We start from the raw sequence: 26,516 nt of genomic DNA on the forward strand, positions 1-26,516 counted from the left end.
TTGTGAAGCAGGTAAAATGGGCATTGTATCATTTTATAGGTAAGAGAAACTGGGGCTCAGAGAGTGGCTAAAGTGGCAGGTCCAGGAAGTGGGTGCAGGTGTGTCTGTGTGTAGCAATGGAGCACATTATTTAGGGTAGCCCAGGCTTATCTTCTATGATGATGGTTCTTCCTTTAGCCTTCTGGAGACAACACAAGCCATTCCTGAGCTCTACCTAGTCCTCTCCCAAGATCTTTCATAAAAGAACCAGCTAAACTCATCTCCTCCATTACTCGAATCTTTGGCAAATGCTGGGAAGAGCTACTGTTGTGAAAACCAAAGTCTAGAAGATCTGTTTTTTACTTCCACAAAGTCTTCAGTCTCAGGTGGGGCTGGGAGGGCCCGCACTAAGAGGCAGAGGTAGATTTAGGAGCAGGGGATATCTCATGGCTATGAGTGGGGGCAGCGAGGCTGCAGTGTGGCCTTGGTCTGCCAGCCCAGGTGTAAGCTGGACCCCTGGGTGGAAAGAATTCCCTCGGGGGCTCGTGCCCGTGGTCATCAGCTCACAATCCAGACAGATGTCAAGCCGACAAACACCAAGGGGAGTTTAGCCCGTTAGTGGTAGCATCTGTCTAATTCCTATTAGGTAAGGGGAGGGCACAGGCTCTCTGGGTTCCAGCGTAGCACAATGGGTCTGTGCTGGAGTAGTGGCAAGTGAGCCCTACCCCAGAGCTTCCCCTCACGGTCCTCAGTCCACAGTGCATTGTTAAGGAATGGATGCTCCTCTGTACCAAGTCCTGTGCTAGGTCTAAATGTGATGTGACCCCTCCTTCTGAGGAGCTGTCCTGCCTTCCTCCCAGGAGACCTTCCTCTGTGGAGATTGTCAGTTCTATCTCCAGGTCCAGGGCAGGGAGACAGACGCCCAGAGAGTCAAGTGTATGCCCCGGGCCCAGGGGCGACAGGTGCTTGTTCTCATTCTCATTTCCTCCCTAAGAATCCACCTGTCAACAGGTGTGGCCTGAACCCACTATTTAATTAGTGCCCATTAGCATGCTGTGGGGAACACTCAGTGGCCTCATCCTCTAGGAGCTACATATTTTTGATGAGGAGACCAAACAAAACGCATGTGAAATTGAGAACAAGCTATATGACCTTGACTCATCTCTTAACTTCTCTGGATTTCAGAATCCTCATTTTATACAATGAGCAGGTTATCCTTGGCTCTCTTCAAGCCCCTTTCAAGTCTATTCTCCTACGACTGTCTGGGCTGTACATGCGAGGTCCATCAGGCACCATGAGTTTGTAGAAGGTGATAGGACACCAGAGAACACCTAGCCCAGCAGTGGGAAGGCTGTCTACCTGTAGGCAGGTGAGTGGGTGGGAAGATATATTGCAGAGGTAGCTGGCCTCATTTATTTGTCTGCAGGGGCCGGGAGAGTGCTTGTTGAGAGGGACCCTGCAGAGTCCCCCAGCTTCCAGGAGGGTCAGGGGGACAGAAATCAGGCAGGAGAGCCTGGCAGAGTGGGAACTCAAGACCGCTGCTCCCCTGTGGCCCAAATAGCGGTGGTGGAAGGAGCTCCTCTCCCGGCCCCTCTCCCACTCTGCCCCCCACCCACCGGCTCTGGGAGGAGACAACTGGTTTCATAGTAGGGCAGCGGTCCCCTGGGGCCCTCTTGACTTGTGAGACAGATTCTGGAGGAAAGCCAAGGAGCTCGAAAGGATTCCTCCAGCCTTCCCTGAAGCCTGTTTCCAAGGAACCTGACTTAGTCTCCGGCACTGGCATAGCACCCCTTGAGAAGTCACCTCCATTCATGAGAGCCTCTTAATGGCAGCAAGATGGGGGACTGCTAACTCCTGCTGACTTCTAGATTGTAGGGGGAGCCTCTTTCCAAGCTGGACGTCTGGTCTCCTGGAATACTTTTCAAAGTCATTTCCACTGGGTTTGAGGAGAAGGAAGGAAGGAAGGAAGGAAGGAAGGAAGGAAGGAAGGAAAGAAGGAAGGAAGGAGGGAGAGCTTCAATCCCAGGCAGTCCTCCACGGAGCACCATTGGCTGCTGGCAGGGGTAATGGGAACTTCCCAGCATTTCTGCTGCACAGAGTCCTGGTTCTGGTGGCCCTGACCTGGCCGTGGTGGAACTGGGCTCTGGGGAGACAGGCTGCCACAGCTAGCTTGCAGGTAAAGGCAGAAGAAGGATGTTCCCTGAGCTCTGTGATTTCTAGGTAGCTGTGCAGGACCTCCAGCGTGAAGGCCACAGACGAGTGGAGGCTCCTTTGCTATGTGGTAGGCTCTGTGCTGAGCCCTGTGCTGGGGGCTGTCACCACTATTTTGTTGAGTCATAGCTGTAGACCCAAGAAGAAAAGTGAGGCTCAGAGAAGGTAAGAGAATTTGCCCAAGGTCACCCAGCTATGAGTGAGGCAGGCCAGTGTAGAACAAGCAACAGGTATGGGTGTGGGCCTTGGTAGAGCCCTGTGCTCACTGTGGGACCGTCAGAGCTGGCCTCACTTTCCCCATCAGTCAACTGGTGGCAATAACACCTACTGTCGGGGCTGTGGGGAAGATGGGAAGATTAAGTGAGGTGATGTATGTGGATGTGTTATACATGTTGTATAAACATAAATGACAGCGCCTACACCGTGACTTGCATGTAATACGTGGGGGAGAAAATTGGTTGGCACAGACTATATATTTCTTATTAGTTTAAAATAGAGTATACACACAAATTCACACGCCTTCTCATACTCACTCACAGCGTGATGACAGCCATGTTTGGGTGATTCAAAGCTGGCAGGGTGGCTTTCCATGACTTCCTTGTGGCTGGGGCAGGCGTGAGTTCCCCTGGGATTCCTGAGCGCCCGGTGGTTTTGCCAATTCAAGCTTAGAGTCAACCAACCGGAATTGGGGCCTCCAAAGTGCTCGTGGTTGTTCTCAAGTAGGTTTTCCCACCTAATCCAGTGTGGGAGGCTGTCAGGGGCCTGGGGTGAGGAGGGGGTTGGCCTCTGCCAGGTCCTGTTGGCTTGAAGCAGGCCTTGACTCCCTCCTTGCCAGTCACATTCACTAGATAGATTTTTACTGAGTGTCTTCTCTGTGTCAGACCCTGCGGAGGCGCTAGGGATATGACCGTGAACTAGACAGATGGGTTCCTGCCGGGAGGGCTCACAGATCATGGGAGAGGAAGACGTTCAAGTTCCGTGGGTAATTAGTTAAACCACAAGAGCCACCCAGAAGTCCAGGAAGCCGTGAGGGCCTCAACAGGGAGCATGACCTACTGTGGGGGTCTGGGAGGATCTTGGAGGACATCCTGGAGGAAGTGAGCTTTAAGCTAAGGCATGAAGGGAGACTTGCCGTGAACTAGGTAAGAGTAGGCGCATGAACTCTAGTCACCTTGGGCTGGCCTGGCCTGACCTCATGCTGAGTTTTGTCCCTCCTGTGGGGCCCTTTCTGGGGAGAGAGTTGACCAACCCCTTCTTCCCCAGCATCTTCTTTTCCATCCCAGGCAAGGACTGAACAAGGTGAGAGGAAGACAGCTGGGCACCAGGAGAATGCTGCCAGGGATTGTGCTCTCATCCGAGCTTCCCAGTCAGCTGCATCACAGAGCAGGATGCAATTCCCACATCCCCTGTCCCCCTCCTCTGCCATCCTATGCTCCTTGAGGACAGGTTTTCAGGGGAGCTTTAGAAAATGCAGGCATCCCTTCCGCATTCTTCCTACAGCCCCAGTTAGGGTCCTGGTGATAACCTTGCGATGTTCATGTTCACGTCTTACCTGAGTCTGATTTCTGGAAAGCCCTCGTGGGCAGCAGCTGTGACGGGGGTAGAAATGACTCAGCCCATTTTGCTCAGCACCAGCCACAGGGGGACTATATTTATTACAAAAAGTCTTTGGCAGATCTGGCCTCTTCCCCTACATGGGAGGGAGTCAACTTGACAATGTCTTTTGAGGACTTGGTGCAGTGACCAGGGCTGTATCTTCCCTTTGGAAACACTGAGGAAAATTTGTGAATATTTTGCAGTCTTGTAATTTGGAGGGGGGCAGCGAGGAGAGGCAGCGGGGGAGGTTAGAGAGAGACTGATGGGCTTAAGTGACAAGGGCTATAAATCCACGATTACACGGATGTGAAAAGGAAAGCCAGTGGCCTCCTGCCTAGGGTTTGGGCATCCTCAGAGTTAGCAAAATGTACCTGCTTTGGGGTCAGGCAGGCAGGGGTTAAAGCCCAGCTTCTGCTGCTTGCTGGCTATGTGATCCTGGGCAACTTCTTAACCTGTCTGAGCCTTAGTTTCTTCCCTTTTGTGAAATGAGAGTAGCAATGTCCCTGTGCAGGGGATTCAGTGAGGTAACAGCAAAGATCCTGCTCCAGTCCTGGCCTCAGAGGGTTCTCATATTCATGAGTTCCTTTCCCGTCACTTCCGTCTCTCTCCCCACAGTGCTGCATGGGACCCAGATACCCCTTCAGAGGCAGGAGGCATGAAGGAGTGCAAGCAGGGAAGGCTGTGGGCTGTGGGCCTCTCTGGGGAGCACAGCTAGAATGGCTGACTAAGGATCCTGAGCTGGCTGGGACAGCAATGTCAGAGCCTGGGGAGGCTTCGCAGAAGCAGGGGAAGCAGTGCTCTGGGTGTCTTGGAAGAACCAGACAGCATAGGTGGCATCAAGGAGGGCTGTGAAGCAGAGAATCTTTGTAATAGGGAGTAGGAAGGAAGGGAGGGAGAGAGGGAGGAAATGAACATTTATGAATTGTCTACTGTGTTTTGACATTGAGCGAGGTATTTTAATGCTCATTTTTTGATTTTATAAATTTAGAAGCATAGAATCTTCAAGTCAGAACATCTCAGAACTAGAAAGGACACGTGAAACCATCCCTCCATCCATCCATCCCAACCACTGTATTTTATATATGGGGAAACTGAAGCTCAGAGAAGGACAGTAACTTACCTAAGGCCACACAGGAAATCAGTGGCAGAGGGTTAGAAACTGCCCAGGGCACGTGGTGGCTTATGCCTCTAATCCCAGCACTTTGGGAAGCCGAGGTAGGCAGATCATCTCAGGTTGGGAGATCGAGACCAGCCTGACCAACAAGGAGAAATCCCGTCTCTACTAAAAATACAAAATTAGCCAGGCATTGTGGCACATGCCTGTAATCCCAGCTACTTGGGAGGCTGAGGCAGGAGAATCGCTTGAACCCGGGAGGCGGAGGTTGCGGTGAGCCGAGATTGTGCCATTACACTCCAGCCTGGGCAGCAGAGCGAAACTCTGTCTCAAAAAAAAAAAAGAAGAAAGAAAGAAAGGGAGAGAGAGAGAAGGAAGGAAGGAACGAAGGAAGGAAGGAAGGAAGGAAGGAAGGAAGGAAGGAAGGAAGGAAAGAAAGAAAGAAAGAAAGAAAGAAAGAAAGAAAGAAGGAAGGAAGGAAGGAAGGAAGGAAAGAAAGAGAGAGAGAGAGAGAGAGAGAAAGAAAGAAAGAAAGAAAGAGAAAGGAAGGAAGAGAGAAAGGAAGAAAGAGAGAGGAAGAAACTGCCCAGGGCAGGGCAGTTGGGTCAGAGCAGAAAGAGCATAGACCTTAGAATCAAAGACTGGGCTTAACTACAGAAACACTTGTGATATGACCCAGGAAAACGTACCTCCTGAGCCTCAGTTCTCTTATCTGTAAGTTGGTACAGTAATTCTCAACTCAGGTGGCAGCCGGGACAATGAAAGGAGATAGCCCGTGTAAAGTGCACGGTGTGGTGTCGGGCTCGGATGGCGCAGGTCCTTCCCCTTCAAGCCTTGCCCTCTCCCGTGTGTTTCATGGCTCTGGCCACACCCGTAGAACCAACCAGTGAACCCTGTGTTTGTCCCACCGTGTGTCCCCTGGGCTCAATGAACAGAAGGCCTGAGGATTTATTCATTCTTTCATTCACTTATTCCTCAAGTATTTATTAGGTATCCTGAGCATGTGCCCAGCATTATCTTGGTGCCAGGGATATATAGGTGAGCAAACTCAGGTGGCTTCTATCCTGTTAGGGTTCACAGTTAGATGGCGAACAGAGACGTTACTTTTAAAAATCACACGAATAAATGTGAGAATATGAATGACATACGAGCTTTGAGGAGAAGAGCCTAACACTGTGGGAGCATTCTTCAACAGGAAGATTTTATCCAGAGAGAGCAGGGCAGGGCCTCCCTGGGGAGTGATGTTTGAGGTGAGCCTGAAGGGAGACACGGCAAAACTGAGAAAAGACGGGAGAAAAATCGCGTCCCAGGCAGGGGGAGCATAGAGTTGAAGGCCCCCCGGCAGGGAGGAAGGGCTGTGCCTGCAAGAGCTGACAGGCAGCTGGGGTGCTGGGGCAGAGTGGCGGGTCAGGCGCGAGTCACTGAGCTGTGCCTCAGAGGAGCTTGCGAGAGAACCCCTGGAGTCTGACTCTGAAGCAGGGCTGCACCTGTGGGGAGAGGTGGGTAAACTGAGTCTGAGATTCTGAAATGGAGACCAGGCCAACATTTGGCTATAGTCCTGGACAGAGAGACAGATGTTTCTAAGCCTCAGTTTTTCTGCCCCAAAATGAGCATAATGACAATAAAAATTATAAATAGATTGCAGATCCATGATGGTGGGGGTGGAGGTAAAAATGAACAAATGCATTAGGTATTTTGCCCTCAGCATATATGTGAATGGCATCAAATTCATTGACGTTAAAGCTTAGATGATCTGGATTTGTAATTGAATAAAGGCCAAAGTCCTCCCCATGGCTGAATCTCCTCCTCCCCAATTCATGTCCTGTCACTGTCCTGCTCACTACACGCACACGGGCCTTCTAGACACCCCTGTTGTAACTGAAACAGCCATGCACGCTCCTGCCTGAGGGCCCCCGCGTGTACTGGTCCTTCTGCCCGGAACATCGTTCCCTGGATATCTGCGTGGCTTGCTAGCTTGCTTGCTTTTTCAGATTTCCCCTCCAATATCATCATCTCAATGAGGCTTTCCTCATTTCCCATCTAAAATGAAATCCCTTTTGTCCCCTCCCTGGCTCTCCCTTTCCGTCTTTATTTTTCTTTAGAGCGATTGTTGGATTTCTGTCTCTTTTCTTCCCCCTCTGCTCTAATCCGGAATAGTACTTGGCTGTAGTAAAAGCCCAGGCAATGTTTGTGGAATGAATGAATGAGTGAATGAATGGGGAGAGCTGTTTGTTGGTGAAATGATGTGTCAGGTTCATTCAAAGATGCTTTTTCCCTTACTCTGAAATTGACTCATGGAATGTCAGAATTGGAAGGAACTAAGTCATTGGTCTTTGAGCAACTCTCTCATTTAACAACTGAGTAAACAGAGGCCCAGGGAGGTACTTCAGGGGCTTGTGAAAGGTCACAGAGCTCGGAGCCAGAATGAGAACCAAAGCCTCTGGGATTTACTCCAGGACTCTTCACGAAGCTTTGGCTTTTTTTGCATGACACAGCTCCTGGGGAAAAAGGGGGTTTGCTCTGTGGTCTCCAGCTTCCTGGTGTTCTGCTCCTGGGGCCACATGGCCTGAGGGGCTGTAATTTCACTCCAAGATCTCTGCTGCTGCTCCTTGGGCCACCTTGCGGGATGTTGGTAAAGGCAGCTATTGGCAACTGACAGGCAGACATACTTCTCTCCCACGAGGTAAAATGAATGTTTTCTGTCAAGGTCAATCCACAGGAAATGATTATTTAGCTCTGACTTGGTAGAGTCTGCCTAAGGTGGAGAATGCAAGAAGTATCAGATTCTAGTCCTGCACTTCAGGAACTTCTAGTTTAGCTAGGGAGACAATGCTTACTGACATCGATATTAACATTAAAATAATGCTAGCAAACATTAACTGGTGCTTACCACATACCAGGCACTGTTCTGAAAACTTTATGCCTATTAACTTATTCAGTTCTCACTATGACTCTATGGGGATGTTGCCATACCTCTTTCACATTTAAGTAACCTGAGGCACAGAGAGGTTTAGCAACTTGTTCAAAGCCACACGGCTAGTAAGAGGAGAAGCCAGGATTTAAACCCAGGTGTTCTCTCACCAGCACTCATCCTCTTATACATTAAGTGAAATAATAGCACAAGACAAGAATGTGAGATGCATTACGAGACAGTAGAGTGAGGTCAAGGGAGGAGGTTACACTGCAGGCTGGAGTAGTCTGGGATGGCTTCCTGGAGGAAGTGCTGCCTGAAGGAAGCAGAATGTTTGGATAGCAGGAGAGAGGCTTTGCCCTCTTGGTTTTCCATCCTTAGGTAGAAGGGAACAGTGGTTAGGAGTGTCCAATGAGGGACTTGTGGTAGGGAGGAGTCTCCTCCCTTAATACACGCATTTGAGAGCAACAGACCTGAACAACGTCGTTTACCAGCTGCCCAGTGAGGGCTGGGAGGAGGACTTGGCACTGGCCTGGCCTCTGTCTCCCATAGAAATAGTTCCCCATGTGCTTGTGTCATGGGGGCTTTGCCTAGTTTGGGAGAGGAATCTCTTGGTGAGCCCCTCAGGATCTAGCCTTCTTAAATGTTTGGGAGATTCGGAGAAGATCCTCTAAATGGTCTCCAAGATGCCAAGATGGCTGCTCTATCTGTAAAATGGGCCAGTAACCCCATGCTATGGGGGTGCAATCAGCATTTCATGGCTCAGTGTTTTTAAGGAATCTGGCCCATTTGGCTTCAGTTACAGATGACTTCCTTTCTCTGTCCACCTCCCGAAATTCCCAGTTCAACCCAGACTGGCTACCCTCAGTCTTAGCTTAGAGCTGGGACACAGAGGTTTTGTTGATTGTGTGACCTGGCTCTTTGGGGCTGCACTTAGGGGACAGGCCTAAAGCTGCTCTCCTCAGCGGAGTTACTGATAATGTCCCTCAATTATGTTTGCATTCTAAAAATACATTTGCTTTCTTTTGGAGCCATAAAGCACAAAGAAGTCTCAGTTGGAGGTTGTCTAACCACCCCAGTTTGCCCAGGATTGTAACGACTTTCACACTGAAAGTCTGTTTCTGTGGTCCCCCCAGTCCCAGCTAACCTGGGCAGGCAGTTGGTTGCCCTGTGAGTCAGGAGAGAGGGAGAGAATGTCATGGAACTGAAGGCTCATGCACCCACTAAAGGCTGTCCCATTGCTCCTTCTACGTGGCTGAATCCCCCAGAGATAGGCAGATAGATGTCTATGGAAGATCTAGCTGAAAGGTAAAGGGCTTTGGCTTTTGACAGACCAGGGTTCAAATCTCCCATTGGCTGTGTACTATCACCTTAACTTTGGCCAAATGTCTTAACTTGAGCCTCAGTGTCCTCATTTGTAAATGTGGGGACTGTAATAACTATGTCATGGTGCTGTTTTGGGACTTCAATGGTCCAAGGCAAATAAAGTACCTGGCATATTACAGATGTTACATACAACAGGCTCAGCCATCTGAGCCATTACATTTATTCCCAGTGTTGGGTTTGGATGGGAAGAAATAGCCTCTTTCTCTTAGGAAAGCTGGGTTGTGAAACTGGCCTCCCCAGCTCCTCCAAATTCATGGCTCCTGGCCCATTTCATAGCACTGTCCTGGCCTGCCAGCAGCTACAGAGAAGGGCCTGGGGAAGGACCCTTGGATTTTTTGTGGAGACAGAGGTATAGATTGGAGAACTGCTCCTGTCCCTGCCTTCAAGGCTGGGCTGAGGGCCAGAATCCTGGGGCTTTAAGTGTGTCTTTTTCCCCTTTCCCTGGCTTATTTGACTTTCTGGAAAATAGGAAGGCTCATTACTGTTTGGAATCAATGAAACTTGCAAGAGGGACCGTGGAGAGCCTCTGGTTTAATTTGGCCTTCTCTGAAATGAGGACCTTGACGCCCAGGGAGGTGGTAACTCATTCGAAGCTCCACTGCTGATCAGCACCCAGGCTTTCCCAGCTCCTAGCCCAGGGGACATCCTGGTTCAATAGGCTGGGGAAGTCCTTTAAGCTCCAAGGGACAAGGCACATGGTGGCTGTAGCATGCGATGAATCCTTTTTTTTTTTTTTTTTTTTTTTTTTTTTGAGACGGAGTCTCACTCTGTCGCCCAGGTCGGACTGCGGACTGCAGTGGTGCAATCTCGGCTCACTGCAAGCTCCGCTTCCCGGGTTCACGCCATTCTCCTGCCTCAGCCTCCCGAGTAGCTGGGACTACAGGCGCCCGCCACCGCGCCCGGCTAATTTTTTGTATTTTTAGTAGAGACGGGGTTTCACCTTGTTAGCCAGGATGGTCTCGATCTCCTGACCTCATGATCCACCCGCCTCGGCCTCCCAAAGGATGAATCCTTTTTCTGACAGTAGCTTGCCTGCTTTGTGGATCGTTGGTGACACATATTAAATCCCTGGCCAGCTACCCTCTGCCACTGTAGCACACTCTCTGAGCCACCTCTCTCTAATGGAGGGTAAACTATGCTCATAAGACACTGACTCTTTTTTTATTAACTTTTTTTTTTTGCATTGACTCTTTTAAATGGTCACACTAAACTAAGAAGATAAACACCATTTCTAAAGACATTCTAAAATTCACAAAAAGAGATGATTTTTTTCAGAGAGAATATTTTTCTGGATTAGCCACTACAGTTGACCTTACTGAGCTGAGGGCATCAGCAGATTTCATGTGCTCAATGAATGGAGTGTTCATTCAGTGCCAGTGTGGTCAGGGAACGGTTACACCCAGAGTGGAGAACATGAATGGGCTATTACTCTGAGCAAATGTGATATGTTTCCTGTGGGGGTTTCTTCTGTTGCCTGTGGACCCTCCATTTGCCTCAAATACATTTTCAATTTATTTAGCACCCACTGTGTTCTAGCCACCATGGAGGGAGATAAAAGATGACAAGATTTGGTCTCTACATGAAGGAGCAGACAGTTTGAGTGGGGAGAGAAGCATGGAAACCATGGAAAGTTTAATGATATTGAAGGAGTTACATCACAATACCTGAGGGCGGGTCATCACAAGAGATGTTACAGGACAGAGAAGACTCATTGCCAAATGAGCGACACTAACAAGAGTGATGCTCTCAGAGGAAGGACAGACTGAGTGGACTGCAAGGATAGGGGAGACTTCTGGAAGAGGTGGATGGTGTGGCAGACCCTTGACACTCATTCCCCTTCAGCAGGCTTGGAATGTGGGGATGACTATCCCCATTTTCACATATGGCAAAGGCCCAAGCCACACAGCTGGTAAGTTGAGATTTGGAATCTGGACCCATCTGCATCCAAACTTTTTCCATTAGAAACCCTGTCTCCCATGAGCCAGGCTTTGAAGGTTGGGTGGGATTGAATAGATAGAGAGAGGGGAGCCATAAACAAGAGTGTGTGTAAGGAAGATAATGAGCAAAGACCCTACTGTGTGGTGGGGCATTGAGCCCACCAGTGTGGAAAGAAGAAAGCAGCATGCTCTAGGGGAGCATAGCCTGCAGTGCTGGGCTCCTTGCTGGGTAGAGGCTGGAGCCTCTGGAACCTGCCTGTGCTGACTGCCATTCCCTGCCCTCTCCTCAGAACCTCTTCTCACACCCAGGAGCCTCTGATTGCTTTCCTGGCCTTGTGTCGGAGGCTGGCTAGGCTGGCATCTGTCTCCCAAGAAGACCTAGTAAATCCTTAGTGGTAATAGGAATGACAGCAACACCATCCCGCATCTGTAGAATACTTTTCCACCTACACGGTCTTTATGCTTGAAACCAGAAACAAACCACGAAGAAAGACATCATGATGGGTAGGCAACGTCCAGGGCTCAAGGGACTTCTGCTCAACCCTCAGAGGACAGGCCAAGGACAAGTGCCCCAGGCAGGTTACTCACTGTTTACCATTTTGTGTATGGTACCTGGCACATAATAGATGCTCAATAAACAAGCATTGAGTCCCACCCTGTTTGCAGGTACCTGATTCCAGCACCTCTGCAGAAAGCAAGCAGCATCCCTGACCATTGCCTCCTGGCATTTCTTCCTTGTCCTCAGCCCTGCAGCTCTGTGCCCAGTGGCTCCATGCCTCAGCCCAAGTCGAGGCTGTTGCAAAACCTGTGTACATTTACAGTTACTGAGTTTGAGCTTGAAAGAAGTCTGGTTTCATTTGTTTGGTTGGGCTCTCTGAGTTCAATTCATTTTACATAAGAAATTACACAATTACACTCTATATTTTCTATTGTCCTTTTCTTGGTGGTAAAACATGCATAACATAAAATTTGCCATTTTAACCATTTTCAAGTGTGCAATTCAGTGGCATTACATTCACACAGTTGTGCAAACTTCACCATATATATTTCCAAAACATTTTTTCACTTCAGACAGAAACTCTGTACCTATTAAGCAATAACTCTGCATTCTGCCCTGGTAACCTCTCATCCACTTTCTATCTCTATGAATTTGACTATATTATATATGCTTCATATAAGCAGAATCATAATTTATTTGTCCTTTTGTGTATGGTTGTTTCACTTAGCATAATGTTTTTAAGATTCATCTGTGCCATTAACATGTATCAGAATTTCATTCCTCTTTATAGATGAATAATATTTCATTGAATGTAGATACCACATTTTGTTCATCCATTCACCTGTTTATAGACATGTGGGTTGTTTCCACTTTCTGGCTATTGTGAGTAATGCTGCAAGTATTGCATATCAATACTTACATTGATATGCAAGTATCATTTGAGTCCCTGTTTTCAGTTCTTTTGGACATATACCTAGTAGAGGAATTGCTGGGTCATATTCTAGGTAATTCTATGTTTAACTTTTTGAGGAACCACCAAACTGTTTTCCACAACAGCTGCACTATTTTACATTCCCACCAGCAATGCACAAGAATCTCAATTTTTTTCACATGCTGACCAACATTTGTTATTCTCTGTTTTTTTTTTAATTGTAGCCATTATAGTATCTCATTGTGAAGATAGAATGTGAAGTGGTATCTCGTTATGGTTTGATTTTCATTTTCCTGATGTCAAGTGATGTTGAATGTCTTTTCATTATTGGACATTTGTATATCTTTTTTGGAGAAACAGCTAGTCGAATTCTATGCCCATTTTTAAATTGGGTTGTTTATGTTTTTGTTGTTGAATTGTAGGACTTCGTTATATATTCTGGATATTAAACCCTTATCAGGGAAAATATGCAAGTATTTTCTCCCATTCTGGAGGTTTCTTTTTTACTTCATGGTAATGTCCTTTGGGACAGGCACAGTGGCTCATGTCTGTAATCCCAGAACTTTGAGAGGCTGAGGTAGGCAGATCACTTGAGCCCAGGAGTTTGAGACCAGTCTGGGCAACATGGTGAGACTCTGTCTCTACCAAAAAATAAAAAATTAGCTGGGCACAGTGGCATGTGCCTGTAGTCCCAGCTACTCAGGAGGTTGAGATGGGAGGATAGATTGAGCCCAGGAGTTTATGGCTACAATGAGCTGTGATTGCACCACTGAACTCCAGCCTGAGTGGCAGAAAGAGACCTGGTCTCAAAAAAACAAACAAACAAAAATAAATAGATAATTGTCCTTTGATGCACAAAAGTTTTCAATTTTGATGAAGTCTAATTTATATATTTTTCTTTTGTTGCTTATGCTTTTGATGACATAACTAAGAATCACTGTCAAATCCAAGGTCATGAAGATTTATCACTTTTATTTTCTTCTAAGAGTATCATAGCTTTAACTCTTATATTTAGGTTGTTGATCCATTTTGAGTTATTTTTGCATGGGGTGTGAGGTAGGGCTCCAACTTTATTCTTTTGCGTATGGAAATCAGTTTTCTCAGCACCATTTATTGAAGAGATTGTTCTTTCCCCATTGAACGGACTTGCCACCCTTGCCGAAGATCAACGTGGCCATAGCTGTTTGGCTTTATTTCTGGACTCTTTACTCAATTCCACCAGTCTAAATGTCCATCCCCATACCAGTATCATGTTGTTTTGATTACTGTAGATTTACAGTAAAATTTAAAGTTGGGAAGTGTGAGATTTCCAACTTTGTTCCTCTTTTTCAAGATTATTTTGGCTATTCAGGGCCCCTTGCAATTCCATTTGAAGTTGAGATTAACTTTTCCGTTTTTTTTCAAGAGACTGTGGAATTCTGATAGGGATTTCTTTGAATCTGCAGATTGTTTGTTAGATGTATTGACATCTAAGCAATATTAAGTCTTTCTATCCATGAACATGGTATATCTTTTCATTTCTTTAAATCTAATTTCAGCAATGTTTTGTAGTTTTCAGTATACAAGTCTTTCATCTCCTTGGTTAAATTTATTTCTAGATTTTAAAAAATATACTATTTTAAACAGAATTGTATTTTTAATTTTCTCTTCAGCTTGTTCATTGCTGGTATATAGAAACACAAACTGTATACTTTGCTGAATGCTTATTAGTTCTAGTAACTTTCTTGTGGATTCTTTTGGATTTTCTATATACAGGGTCATGTCATCTATGAGTAGAAACAGTTTTACTTTTTCCTTTTCAATTTGGATGCCTTTTATTTCTTTTTTTTTTTCCTAATTACTCTGGCTAGAACTTCCAGCCAATATTGAATAGCAGGTGAAAGAGGCATCCTGTCTTATTCCTGATCTTAGGAGGAAAGCTTTCTGTCTCACCACTGAGTGTGATGTTAGCTGTCTACCACCCTTTTGATAATGGGTCACTCCTAGCGGCCTGGGCCAGGTGGGAATGGGGGCACCCATCTGATTTATTACCCAACAAATGGGTTTCTCCTGATGGAGAATCATATTTGGAGTCTTGCTCAGAGCAAATACCCACTAATCAGAAAATACCAATTTCATGGGAGCACTAATCACACTGTTAAAATGTCAGCTGAACTGAAACCCAAACATTTGTTAAGCTCCTACTATGTTGCAGGCACTTTTATTACCTCATTTGATTCTAAAACAGCCCTTGGAGACAAGCTTTTTATTATTAACACCCCCATTTTAGAGGGGAGGAAATGAATGCTAAGAGAGTGAGGTGATTCATACAGCTGGTAAGTGTTCATAGGAAGTTAGGTGTATGTGGTAAGTTTTCTGATTTGTGAGTGGACTTGTTTTCTATCCAGTCATTCTCAAGGGGAGAAAGGACTACACTCCTTTGTGGAGTGAATCAGAACCTCCCTGGGGGTGGGTTGGAGGACTGGGGAAGGCTTTCTCAAAGGTACTGCATCTCTCAGCCTGTTCTGATAGATCATGTCTTCTGGAGTCTTTCACCCCATTAGAAATTCATTGCTGCAAGGATTCACTGTGACTGACAAGAGCTTGCTGCAACCTTCACGAGTGTGCCATGGTAAAAAGGTTGTGAGCCACTGCAAACTATAGCATCTTCTTTCTTTTGTGATGTTGGTGTTAACAGATGAGTCTGAGAGACAAGTAGAGTTGATTCTATCAGAAGGTTCCAAGAGGTAACTCTTTCTGAGGATTGGGAGCAAATTGTTTGCAGCTCAAGGAGAGCTTCTGGCCCAGCAACTTTTGTCCTATTGCAAACCCCCGTGCTGTTAACTCGGTGGTAATCAACACTCTCAGGGAGATTAGCTTTATCAAGTGACTGCAGCCACAGGTACTTGGATAATTCATAGCCAATGGTTAGTTTCTGCTCAAATTTCTGGGTCGCTGGAGGTGTGTAAGATCCTATTCTGGACAGTGATATGAGACCCAGCTAGTGGCCTGTACATTCCTCCTCATGCGCCGCCTTTTTTTTTTCTTTTAAAGTGTGAGCATGAGCCGGGAACATAGTCCCCGTGAAAGGACGTGGCACCCTGCAGAAAAGTCCTGAGGTTTTCTGAGTCCCGTGCTGGTGCTAATTCCCAGTGTGGACAGGACACCGCAGGAGTTGCTGCTGATGGTCTGATGGAAGACACCTAAGCACAAAAGTCCCAATCAACTTAGGGCAAGAGAAGGCTGCGTTTTTGCTCTCTTCGTATTTTGGGGTTGACTTTCCTCTTTCTTTTGTTCTCATCTGCTGCGCCATGGTCAGGAAGAGGGGTATAGGTGAATTAAGTTCCCTGCTTCTTCCATCCAGCTTGGAGCAGGGTTCACTGAGTTTCCTCTGCCAGTCTGGCCATTTGGTGCCACATTTATGTTTTCAGCCCACATTGGAGTTATCGGTTCATGATGAGACTTTCTGGGCTGCAGATGGCCCAGGGGATAGGAACAAGCCCACCAAGAGATACTTCTATTGAAATTCTAATTATATATATATATGTATATATATATATGTGTGTATATATATATGTGTGTATATATATATGTGTGTGTGTGTGTGTGTGTGTGTGTGTGTGTGTATATATATATATATATATATATATATATATATATATATATATACAAAAGCAAGGAGAGAGGGGTAGCCCTGCCCCATCACCTTAACAATCAGTCGTCTTTAGATTAAACTCAGAAGGTCTTTGTTGTCTCAATTCAATTTAACAAATATCTGTGTAATAATTTAGATAAGATGCAGGTCTTCTCTTTAATGAAATAAACATCTGCTTGGCCATGCAACTGGAGCAAACTCCTTTCAGAAGCAAACTACTTTCATCCTTCTTTCTCTGCACTCTATGCCACTTTCTTCCACCATCCTCCCACCTGTCCCTGTCAACTCCAAAATTTTTTCGGTCTTCTAGGCTTGAGATCTTGCAGTCCCTCTTTCCCCTCCCTCTCCTTCCTTCCCTGGTCTATATAATAACTATACATCCCTGCTTTCCCTGGATGGTTCTGGTTTAAATCTGTTGTCCTAGTATAACTGTTAATAGCTCTCTTTTCATTCTCTCTTTTTTTTTTGAGACAGAGTCTTGCTCCGTCGCCAGGCTGGAGTGCAGTGGTGCGACCTTGGCTTGCTGCAACCTCCGCCTCCTGGGTTCAAGCGATTCTCCTGCATCAGCCTCCCAAGCAGCTGGGACTACAGGTGCATGCCACCATGCCCAGCTAATTTTTTTATTTTTAGTAGAGATGGGGTTTCACCGTGTTGGCCAGGATGGTCTCGATCTCTTGACCTTGTGATTGGCCCGCCTTGGTTTCCCAAACTGCTGGGATTACAAGCATGAGCCACTGCGCCTGGCCTTCTCTTTTCATTCTCAAAAGTGTCTCAATTTGGGCAATAAATTAAATGGTGAACCAAACTATCACCTATCAGAGGCTGAGGCTGTCCTCCTATCCGTGCCCAGCATGTCACCGCCTTCCCAGTGCCACTAGCCTAGCTGAGATGCTGTCACCTCTTGCTGGCTCACTGAAAGTGCCTTTTCTCTGATGTCCATACTTGTGCCACTTACTTCCTATTCGTTCTGCGATCATGGCCTGATTAATTCTCTCAAAATACGGTACTCCGCTGCTCACCCTCTTGGTTCCTTATTTATGGGATACAAATCAAACATCTTAGTCTGGCACTTAAAACCCTTTAGAGCCCAGCTTCTGCTTTGGTCTCCCTCTTTTGGTTTCTCAGCATGAAGTCTCATTTCCACTCTAATTGGTTGATACTCTGTCCCCCGACCCTGCCCTGTGATGGCCACCTGTGAACATTTGCTCTCGAGGGTCCACTTTCCTGGGCTCTCACTCTGGCCGTCACCACAGATGCAAATCCGTGCCTGCATCCTTCAAGCCCAGCAGGGATTCCCATCTTTTAAATACAGCGCTCTGTGACCAGCCCACCCCTCAGCACTCTCTCCTCCTCTGAACTCTTTGGCCTAGAGCAATTATTGTCTGCACAATTCATTTGGCATCTAATCATGTACTGCCTCATGACTTTTCATATATTGTTTCTTGAACTAGGGCTGGAATTATTTGCTGCAATTTCACTTTTTGTTTTCATATGCCTGTCTCCACAGTGAAACTGCAGGTTCCTGAGGACAGGAGCCGCATCTTTTTCATCTTTTCATTCCTTATGGCACCAAGTGCCTAGTAGGTATAACATAAATACTTTCCAGAAATTCTTAAGAGGTGTTCATTTAGGAGTCTTGGGACTGGAAAGATCCTTATAATAACATAGCTTATACTCTTATTTTGTAGATAAACAACAATAAAAAAATGAAGAGACAAGAAGTCAAGAGACTTGCCCAAAGAGACCCAGCTAATGCAGATGGCAGAGGCAGGATTCAAGAACAGATCTTTTCATTCTAAGTCCAGGACACTCTCCAGTCACCACAGGCTACTGCCTGTGTGTTGATTTTATTTTGTGAGTGGGTTGCATTCATTTTCAAGGGTGTGTAGGAATTTAGAAAGCAGAATAAACCAAAGAGAGCAAGCCAGGAGTGGAGCACAGCCTCAGCAACGTCCAAGAGGTGCAAACTTGTGTGGCATAACTCTGGTGCCACAGCAATTAGGCCACCATAATTTCACTCTAAGAAAGTGGTGGGGGTGGCGGGTCAGGGAAGACCACAGTCCCATGATTTGGGGATTGAGCAGTAGACGTCACAGTGCAGTCACCTGCCAGTGCCTCCGGCGAGCATCTCATCACTAGATTCCACTGTTGGGAAGTTGTGGTGGGGCGTGTGGTTGGGGTGGGGTGCATGTTTTGGGTGCGGTGTGGAGTGGAGGTGGCCAGCTCAGGAGGGCTGGATGAGGACATTGGAAATGCCTTCTCAGAGGTGGCCGGGACGTACTTGCTTTGGGTTGTGATGAAACCTGACTGCACTGGCGTTGAAAAGCGTCACTGGTAATGCTGTTATATATCCTTTTCAACTTTAATAAGGTGTTGCAAAAACTACAAAAATACATATAACTAAAACCACATTTCACCGGAAGCTTGATCTCGAATCCCTTTCTACTGCTCCAGTGTGGTGCTTCGCGCTGTCAATAGAGCTGTTAAAACACAATGGAAAGTGGGTAATTGTGCATTACATGGCTTTTGTTTTCTGTGATGAAATATCGACATCTGAGCAGAGAGAGGGATTATTGTGGCACAGGGCACTGTGAAGAGATGTGAGGGGCAGGCTGGGGAATTGCGGCAGGGGGAGGGCTGAGGGCAGAGGTAGAGGGAGCAGGAATCTGGCTTCTATTCCAATTCCAGCAGGTCTCTCTGAGTCTCGCTTTTTCTCACCATAAACGTGGGGAAATTCATACATCTCACTGATGTGAGGAGGCTCTGAGCTGGTCACTAGGGTTGGCAGAAGGCTCCAGGGTCCCGGCAGAGCCGTGCAAAGCCAGGGCAGAGCTATGCACTCATTCACAGGCGCTGCGGCTAAAGAATGTGTCTGAAGGCAGCTTGGGAAGATAAGGGCAAATTAAGTCAGGAAACAGGCACTGCAATTGTTTCCTGGGGAAAGCTGGGCCAGCGTCCATCCTGTGTCCTGCTGGCGGGAATTCATAAATGATGTCCTTTAACCTGACGCTGGGGGAGCCTGGCAGGAGCTAGGTCTGGGGAAGGTGGAGACCTACAAAAGTGCCTTCTGCTTAGAGCACACTTGTTCCTCCCACAAGTGATAACAACAATGAAATAGTAACAGCCACCCTTTATTGAGTGTGGGGTGGCAGGTGCTTACATACATTTTCTTAATTCTTTCAGCAGCCCTGGAAGGGAGGTGTTTGCCCATTTTCTGGATGGGGAACCCAGGCCAGGTGGGAGGACTGTCTGCCTTGTTCCCCAAGTCTCAGCCTCCCTGTTTCAGAGGCCACAGGGAGGAAAGGACATCTGGGTGGCACACAGGAAATCACGGCCAGCCAGGTCGAGGGGGCTTGGTTTTGCTTTTTTGAGGGAAAGAAATCAAAAGAAGCTGGCAGGGAAACCAGCTGTGAGCTCTCAGTGAGCGAGGGGCTGTTTGCATGCAGGGAAGACTGCCCTGAGGTGACCTGAAGGCAGTCCTGGGGTCATCTGGGCAGTCCCTCGCCTCCACACAGGTGAACCACTTGCCGGGTGGGACCCTCAGGGTCACTTCTGTCAGCTGTGCAGCATTGTGGGCTCTGCCATTGAGTTTGAGGGACGACCTGTCTCGCTAGATAGATTACATTTGGTTTGCTCAGAAGGCATTTATAGCTTTATAAAGCTCTTAAATTGGCTCTTTTCCCCCTCAAAACATTTCTCCAAGCTTACAAGACCAGTTTTAGAATAGCAATTACCAGTTCCAATATCCCCCAGCAAACTCATGCTGTGCTGTTGTATATAAACTGCTTGGGACATTTGTAATGCTGCCACACAGTGTATCTGCGCGGCAGAAAGCCCCCTCTCTACCGAGGAATGCTGCAGAGGCCCTTTCTCGGCTCTAATTTATGGGCCACATAAAATTCTGTGAAGTTGCCCTGCATCTTTCTGAGGCAAAGTTGAGGTTTTTTACTGTTTCAAGCTGCTAATTTTTCCATTTAAAGCGAGCCTTCTGTCCGTGCCAGTGTGCATGTGTGCATACAAGTTGGCCGCTTTAATTTATGTGCCTCTTTCTCTCTGTGTAAGGCTATAACTTACAAATGTCTGCATGAAATACAGAGCCACTCTTCCTATTACAAGAGGCATGGATGCTTTGTCCCATGCGTGGGATAACCTGGACCCCACCCTGCCTCAAACCCAGGGACAAAGTAACCTCAGTGCAGAGAGGGGCATTGACCTAGGAACAGGAGTTGATGGGACTCATCATGTGAACCAAGACCCAGTGTCCTCACCAGTAAGACGTGGGGCTGGATGAGAGGCAGCACGGTTGGGGGCAGGCATAGGAGGTTCAGAGCAGGGGACAAGGATTTAAGGATGGAATGGAGCACATTCAAGAACTGCTGCCTTGGGCAAGCCATGTAAGCTTTCCAAGCCTCAGTTTCCCCATTTTCAGGATGGGGGTAGGGTTACAAATTTCTCCCCACAGTGTTGTGAGTACCAAGTGTGCTACTGACTGCAAAGGCCCTTCCTCAGCTAAGACAATATCGAAGGGCTGGTTGGGAGCTATTCCAAGCTCTGAGCTGCCGGCAGGGCCCCGTAGGAGGGGTAAAGACCAAGAGCAACGTGATGTCTTTGGGCTTTCCAAAGTCAAACCTAGATGCCTTTGTGCGAGCCCTTCCTCCCTGGTCTCTGCTGAGCCCTGTGTGGAGAGCGGTTGCGTAGCACAGGGCAGGAGAGCTCTGCACATGCTTCTCCTTTTCCAGTAGGGCCCTCTGGGCTGGAGAGAGCAGTCATCCCTTGCTAAGAGCAGTTGGCATCCCCTTCCCCACCCCAGGCCGGCTCCCATTGCGGCCTTTCTTGAGAGCAATAATCCTCTCCTGGTCTTTGCTGATGCTTCTCATCAGAAGATAACACAGCGAGTCTTTTCAGGGTCTCCTGAGAACCTAGAAGATATTGAGCAGGTGCTGGGGGATTCACAGGCAAGGAGGTTTGTAGCTCCCAGTCCCCCACCCCCACCCTGCTTCACAGGAGGGTCCTCACCCTGTGTCCTCACAGCAGGACCCTTATAGCTGGGGAACTTGGCCCTCCTGCCCCCGAGTTGGGATCACACTGGCTGACAGAGAGGGGCACTCAGCCTCTCCTGGGGTTTTGGTGAGCCCCTCACTGCAGAGGACCCCAAAGGCCCACTCTTGCTTCAATGTCCCTTAGGCCTCATCCCTCCTTTTAAACTGCTTGCTGCTGCAGTGCTCCCACTTGGATATTTTGCCACGAATGTAAAATGTCATGAGTTAAAACAGACTCATTCAACGCATTTTTAGTGATGGGAAAGATGCTGCCGTCCATTGAGCACCTACTATATGCCAGGCTGCAGGCAAGGTGCTGTGTATGCTCCAGCTAATTTAATTCTCACCACAAACCCTCCAGATAATAATAACTAACCTGTATGCAGCACTTCCAACATGCCAGTCATGACTTTGAGCTCTTTATGTAGGTCCTACCTTCCTGACGCTCTTAGGAGGCGGGCTCTATTGTTATCCTCTTTTGTATTATGGACGGGAAAATGGAGGCATGGAACGCTTAAGGAACCCATCCAACATCACACAACCAGGAGTTTGGGAAGATGGGACTAGCACCCAGGGAGTCTGTTTCCATGTCTGAACTCTTAACCACTCCACAAGAAACATGGCTTCTTCAAGGAGGGCATTCATTATGACCGTGTTTTAATTGTACCCCACCTAAACTTACCTTTAGATATAAACACTGATTCTCAGCCTAGAAAGAAGCTGAGCCAGAATTTGAACCCAGGCTGGTCTGCTTCAAAGCATCTGGTCTTTCTGTTGTGCCTTTATCCTCTTGCTTACTCGTTCAAGACACGTGCTTTTCCTACCCTCAGTTCATAATCTTTTAAGTAAGTAGGTGATATTATAAAACGAAAAGTTTTTAGGAACATGAGGATGGCTTGGAGCTGGGAGGCCTGGGAAGCAGGAGGAGGGGTGAAGACTTTCAGCAGTCGGCAGTGAGTGGGGAGGCGGGGAGGTCTTGGGGACGGTCGAGGGTCCTGGTTTGTGTGGAGGCCAAAAGAGGAGAGGTTTGAGAGCTGTTCTGAAGAACCGAAAGAACTGGTGATGGAGTAGGTATTGGAAATCTGGTTCAGGGGGAAATCTACACCCTGAAGACTCGGTGAGCTGACACACTACTCATGAAAATGAGAGTGAAGTTCTTGTGGGGCAAGGGTCTCCTTTTTACAACACTGAGTTTGAGATGCCAGGGAAATGGCCAGTGGGGCAGTCCCATCGGCAGATGGCAATGCCTGATAATTTCTCCAACTCCAACACTGGTTTTGAATGTCAGGGTTCTTAAAGTGTTTGTGCGATGGCCTCCTTGAGGATCTGATGAAATGATGAATTCTCTCCCAAGGAATATGTACATGCACACACACACACACACACACACACACACACACACACACAATTCATTGACAATATCCCAGACACAGAAACTCCAGGTTAAGGACACTGGGTTTACAGCCTCAGGCCGGTCCCCTCCCCCACCACTTAGGTGGCCTCTGGGTCTGCTTGGGAAGCTGGGGAACCAGCATTCTGCATGGCTTGGCTCTGTCTTTAGGCATTGGGCATGGGGATCTGTGTCAAGATCCTTAGAGGGGCGACTTTTGCACACAAAGCATGGAGCTGGCAACAGTACAGGTGGGATTTCCTCTTGGATCCTGAGCCTGCAGGATTGTCAGCATGGTCATTTTCCCAGAGCTTGTGTATTCCCGTGGCACCCGAGAAGGGGCTGTGAGGTCTGTGCATCTTTTCTCTCAGTCACTGACTCTTGTGCGTGCTGACTGTGTCGGGGCTGGGCTGCACATTTTGCTGGTTTCTCTAGGGCTCCCTGAGGCGTATAGCTTAGGATAGGGCCTGAAACAAGGCCTGAGCCCGGGACACCGTCTTCTGTTGAGCCCACTTTCTGTCCCCATACACCAGATCCCAAGTGGTTGGAAGCCTTTCCATCATGGGAGCTCCCAACATCCTCACCAAGAAGCTTCATGCTGTGTGTTGCTAACCAGACTTTTATGGGACAAGGGTGGAAGGGCCACTGTCACAGAGAGTGCTGGTATTCAGAGGCAGTGCAGGGGAGGAGGAAGATCTGAGAGCCATGAAGCCAAACCTGGGTCAAACCCTGCTCCAATTTCACCTGTGGCCTTGGGCAAGCTGCCTCACCTCTCTGGCCCTGAATTTCCTCATCATTAGAACAAAGGCATTGGACTCGATCATGTCCAATATCTCATCCTTGTTAATTTTCCATGATTCTAAGTATTGGTAGAGAACCACAGCTGTCCTGTAGTGGCTACAGGGAATGAAATATCCCTGATGATTAGTGAAGATAAAAGGGTCCTCTCCTCATGAGCAGGGACCCTGGTGCTTTATACTTTGAGAAGAGGCCTTTGTAGTAGTGCCTGGTATGCGGGTATGAAGAAGGTACTTCCCTGGGATCACTGGATTTTACCCTATTGGGTAAAGCCGTAAGCGATGTGGCTACTTAAATTTAAATGCATTAAATGAACTCACATCAGAAAGTCAGCTCCTCAGTCTCACTAGCCACATTTCACAGGGTCACCATCGCTGCAGAGAGTGCTGCTGCTGTTGGAGTCGGCCCCAGCCGGGACCCCTGCTTCTCTGAGGGGACAGAGATCTTGCTTAGTTGAGGCAGGTTGGTGTTTGGAGTAGTTGAGTGATGACTCTCATGGATACCTTGGTCCTGTGTAATTCATTGCATCTGAGATGGGAGGGAGCTGACATTTCTTAATGAATTCAGCCACTGTGACCCTCAGAGTCATTTAATTACTGCCCAGGCTTAGGGGGTGGCTGAGCAGTGAACCCAGAGACTGCTGCTTGTGCCCCGGGACTGCCCACCCAGGTCCTCTCAGCCTCCCCACGAGGTCTTTGAAGCCAAGGATCAGGCCACCCCTACCCTGAGTGGGGATCTCTCTTTCTGAACTCCCACTTGCCTGGGGACCCACAGAAACCTATTATTCAGCCCAAGAGCTGCCTAAGAGAGGCTCTGCCCCGGTCTTCAGTAGGAGTCCTCAGCTGCCTGTCAAGGCTCTCCTGGGGCCTTAGCTGGGAGGGTCCCATTCTGGGGACCCCGTAACAACACAGGTCTGCCTCAAACCCCTTCCCTGCCCCAAAGCAGAGGAAAAACAACAACAACAACAACAAAAAAACACAGCTGAGGCTCTGGCAGGGCCACCGTAGGGGTTAGCTGGAAAGTCCCCAAGGGGAAGACACACATCCCCCAGGGTCCTGGCTACGGCTGCCGGTGCAGAGCTGGTGGGACTCCTGGAATGGCGTCCTGGTGATCTCAGGGTGGGTCATCTCGGTATCTGCTCCACTCTGCCCTTCACACAGACGTGCTGCCGTCACCTCTTTGGGCCACAACTGCAGCCAGGGGTTGCAGATTAGAGACCCTAGGGAAGCTAATGGTCACTCCCTGCAAACCACACTAGCAGCATAATCCTTGTCCTTGCAGGACCAATGCAGGGAAGCAGCTGGGCTTTCAGGCAGCCCTCAGAGGCAAGGCCTTTGGTGGATAGAAGCTTGAAAAGGGCTGATGGTCCCTCGTCTGTGTTTCCCAGCAACACAGTCTGGGGTGGGCCTGGTAGCCCATCCTCTTGGGACTTGTTGGGGCTCTCACATCTACTGACCAGAAAAGAGAGCAGCAGAGGGATGAGTTGTGTCAGGAGCCCAGCATGGAATCCTCACATGGAGAAGTCAAATGTTCCACCATCATTTCTATAGCTGATTTTTCTCCCCCGAAGAAGACAAGGAATTTTGTGTCTAGATGGGTTGCTCCCATCCGCTTTTTGGATAGAAAGGCCAGAAGGCGAAGGTGGGGGTAGAGGGCGATACGACACCACACCCCATCAATCAGTTTCAGCCGCGGATCCCCTCTTTACCTGAGGGTAAGAAGGACGGTGCATGGGGACAATTTCTCCTTTTGAAACTTGCTTTCAGGTTCTCCTTCGATATCTTCATTCCCCTCCATGGTAGTGAGGTAATTTGAGTGTCTCACTATATTTTCCTTCAGTACAAGTGAATTTGGAAGACAGGCTTTTCACAGGGTAGTAAAATAATCAGTGCAGGCTCATTCTTACGTACACTTCCTCGAGTTTCCGACCTGTGATAACAGGGGCCTGCTCTAAGACAATCGGTGGTCCCAACACTATAGATCTGATCTATGGGCCCCTCAGACACGGATGCCCTCCCTTATTGCCACCTGCTTCTCCTCTGATTTTTTGTTCTTTTGCAGATTCTACTCCCTCACCTCTCCCTCACCTCTCTCCTGATCCGCCTCCTCCTCCTCTTCCTTCTTCTTCTTCTTCTTCTTTTTTTTTTTTTTCTGAGACAGAGTATCACTCTTGTTTCCTAGGCTGGAGTGTGGTGGCACGATCTTGGCTCACTGCAACCTCCACCTCCCAGGTTGAAGCTATTCTCCTGTCTCAGCCTCCTGTGTAGCTGGGGTTACAGATACCCACTACTATGCCTGGCTAATTTTTGCATTTTCAGTAGAGACAGGGTTTTGTCATGTTGGCCAGGCTGATCTCAAACTCCTAGCCTCAAGTTATCTGCCCTCCTCGGCCTCCCAAAGTGCTGGGATTCCTGGCTTGAGCCCCCACGCCCAGCCTTCTTCCCTTTTTTTCTCCTCTTTGGTAGTTGATCTCACCTGTTGCCCCAGCCCAGCCCCAGGTGGCATGTTATTTCCCTTGTGCTCTGCTGACCAGCCCCAGTCCCTCTGAGAGCTCCCCAAGCTCCTAGACTGCTCTGAGGAGGTCAAAGAGCTTCAGTGAGGGGGAGAACGGCTGCTCCCACCATTGCCCAGGTACCCCCTTCTTGTGGCAAAACATTCCTCGGTTCTCACCTTCACTGAGGTCCAGGTGCTCCTGCCAGCCCCGCACATGCATTCAGTGCTAATTAAATATATTATCCATCTGAGAAAAACCAACTCAGGAAGTTAAATCAGTTATTGCAAAAGAAAACAGTGTGGCATATTTCACTCTCCCAGGTCAGCAATGTGGGCTCCTGGGTTGCTTAAGATTTCCTGGGTTGGCCAGGTGCTGTGGCTCACACCTGTAATCCCAGTACTTTGGGAGGCCAAGGCCGGTGGATCACTTGAGGTCAGGGGTTCAAGACCAGCCTGGCCAACATGGTAAAACTCCATCTCTACTAAAAATACAAGGAAATTAGCCAGATGTGGTGGCAGGTGCCTGTAATACCAGCTACTCAGGAGGCTGAGGCAGGAGAAATCACTTGAACCCAGGCGGTGGAGGTTGCGGTGAGCC

The 26,516-nt window shown here is 48.0% G+C and overlaps 1 protein-coding gene across 28 annotated transcripts in view, besides 2 other annotated features; it reads left to right on the forward strand.

The window, feature by feature from the left end:
* PKNOX2 (PBX/knotted 1 homeobox 2) overlaps nt 1-26,516 on the forward strand; it is a 268,639-nt gene that overhangs the window by 8,529 nt on the left and 233,594 nt on the right. The gene's annotated exons all lie outside the window — the stretch shown is intronic.
* Nucleotides 5,804-6,551: an enhancer, noted in NCBI's record as "H3K4me1 hESC enhancer chr11:125048979-125049726 (GRCh37/hg19 assembly coordinates)". NCBI's record gives its function as "activates a minimal SCP1, AML or CMV promoter by ChIP-STARR-seq in primed H9 embryonic stem cells {active_cell/tissue: H9 hESC(primed)}" and the evidence as "EXISTENCE:reporter gene assay evidence [ECO:0000049][PMID:30033119]".
* Nucleotides 6,552-7,298: an enhancer, noted in NCBI's record as "H3K4me1 hESC enhancer chr11:125049727-125050473 (GRCh37/hg19 assembly coordinates)". NCBI's record gives its function as "activates a minimal SCP1, AML or CMV promoter by ChIP-STARR-seq in naive H9 embryonic stem cells {active_cell/tissue: H9 hESC(naive)}" and the evidence as "EXISTENCE:reporter gene assay evidence [ECO:0000049][PMID:30033119]".

Source organism: Homo sapiens, chromosome 11 (genome assembly GCF_000001405.40).
Source record: "Homo sapiens chromosome 11, GRCh38.p14 Primary Assembly".
NCBI classification, from domain to species: Eukaryota; Metazoa; Chordata; class Mammalia; order Primates; family Hominidae; genus Homo; species Homo sapiens.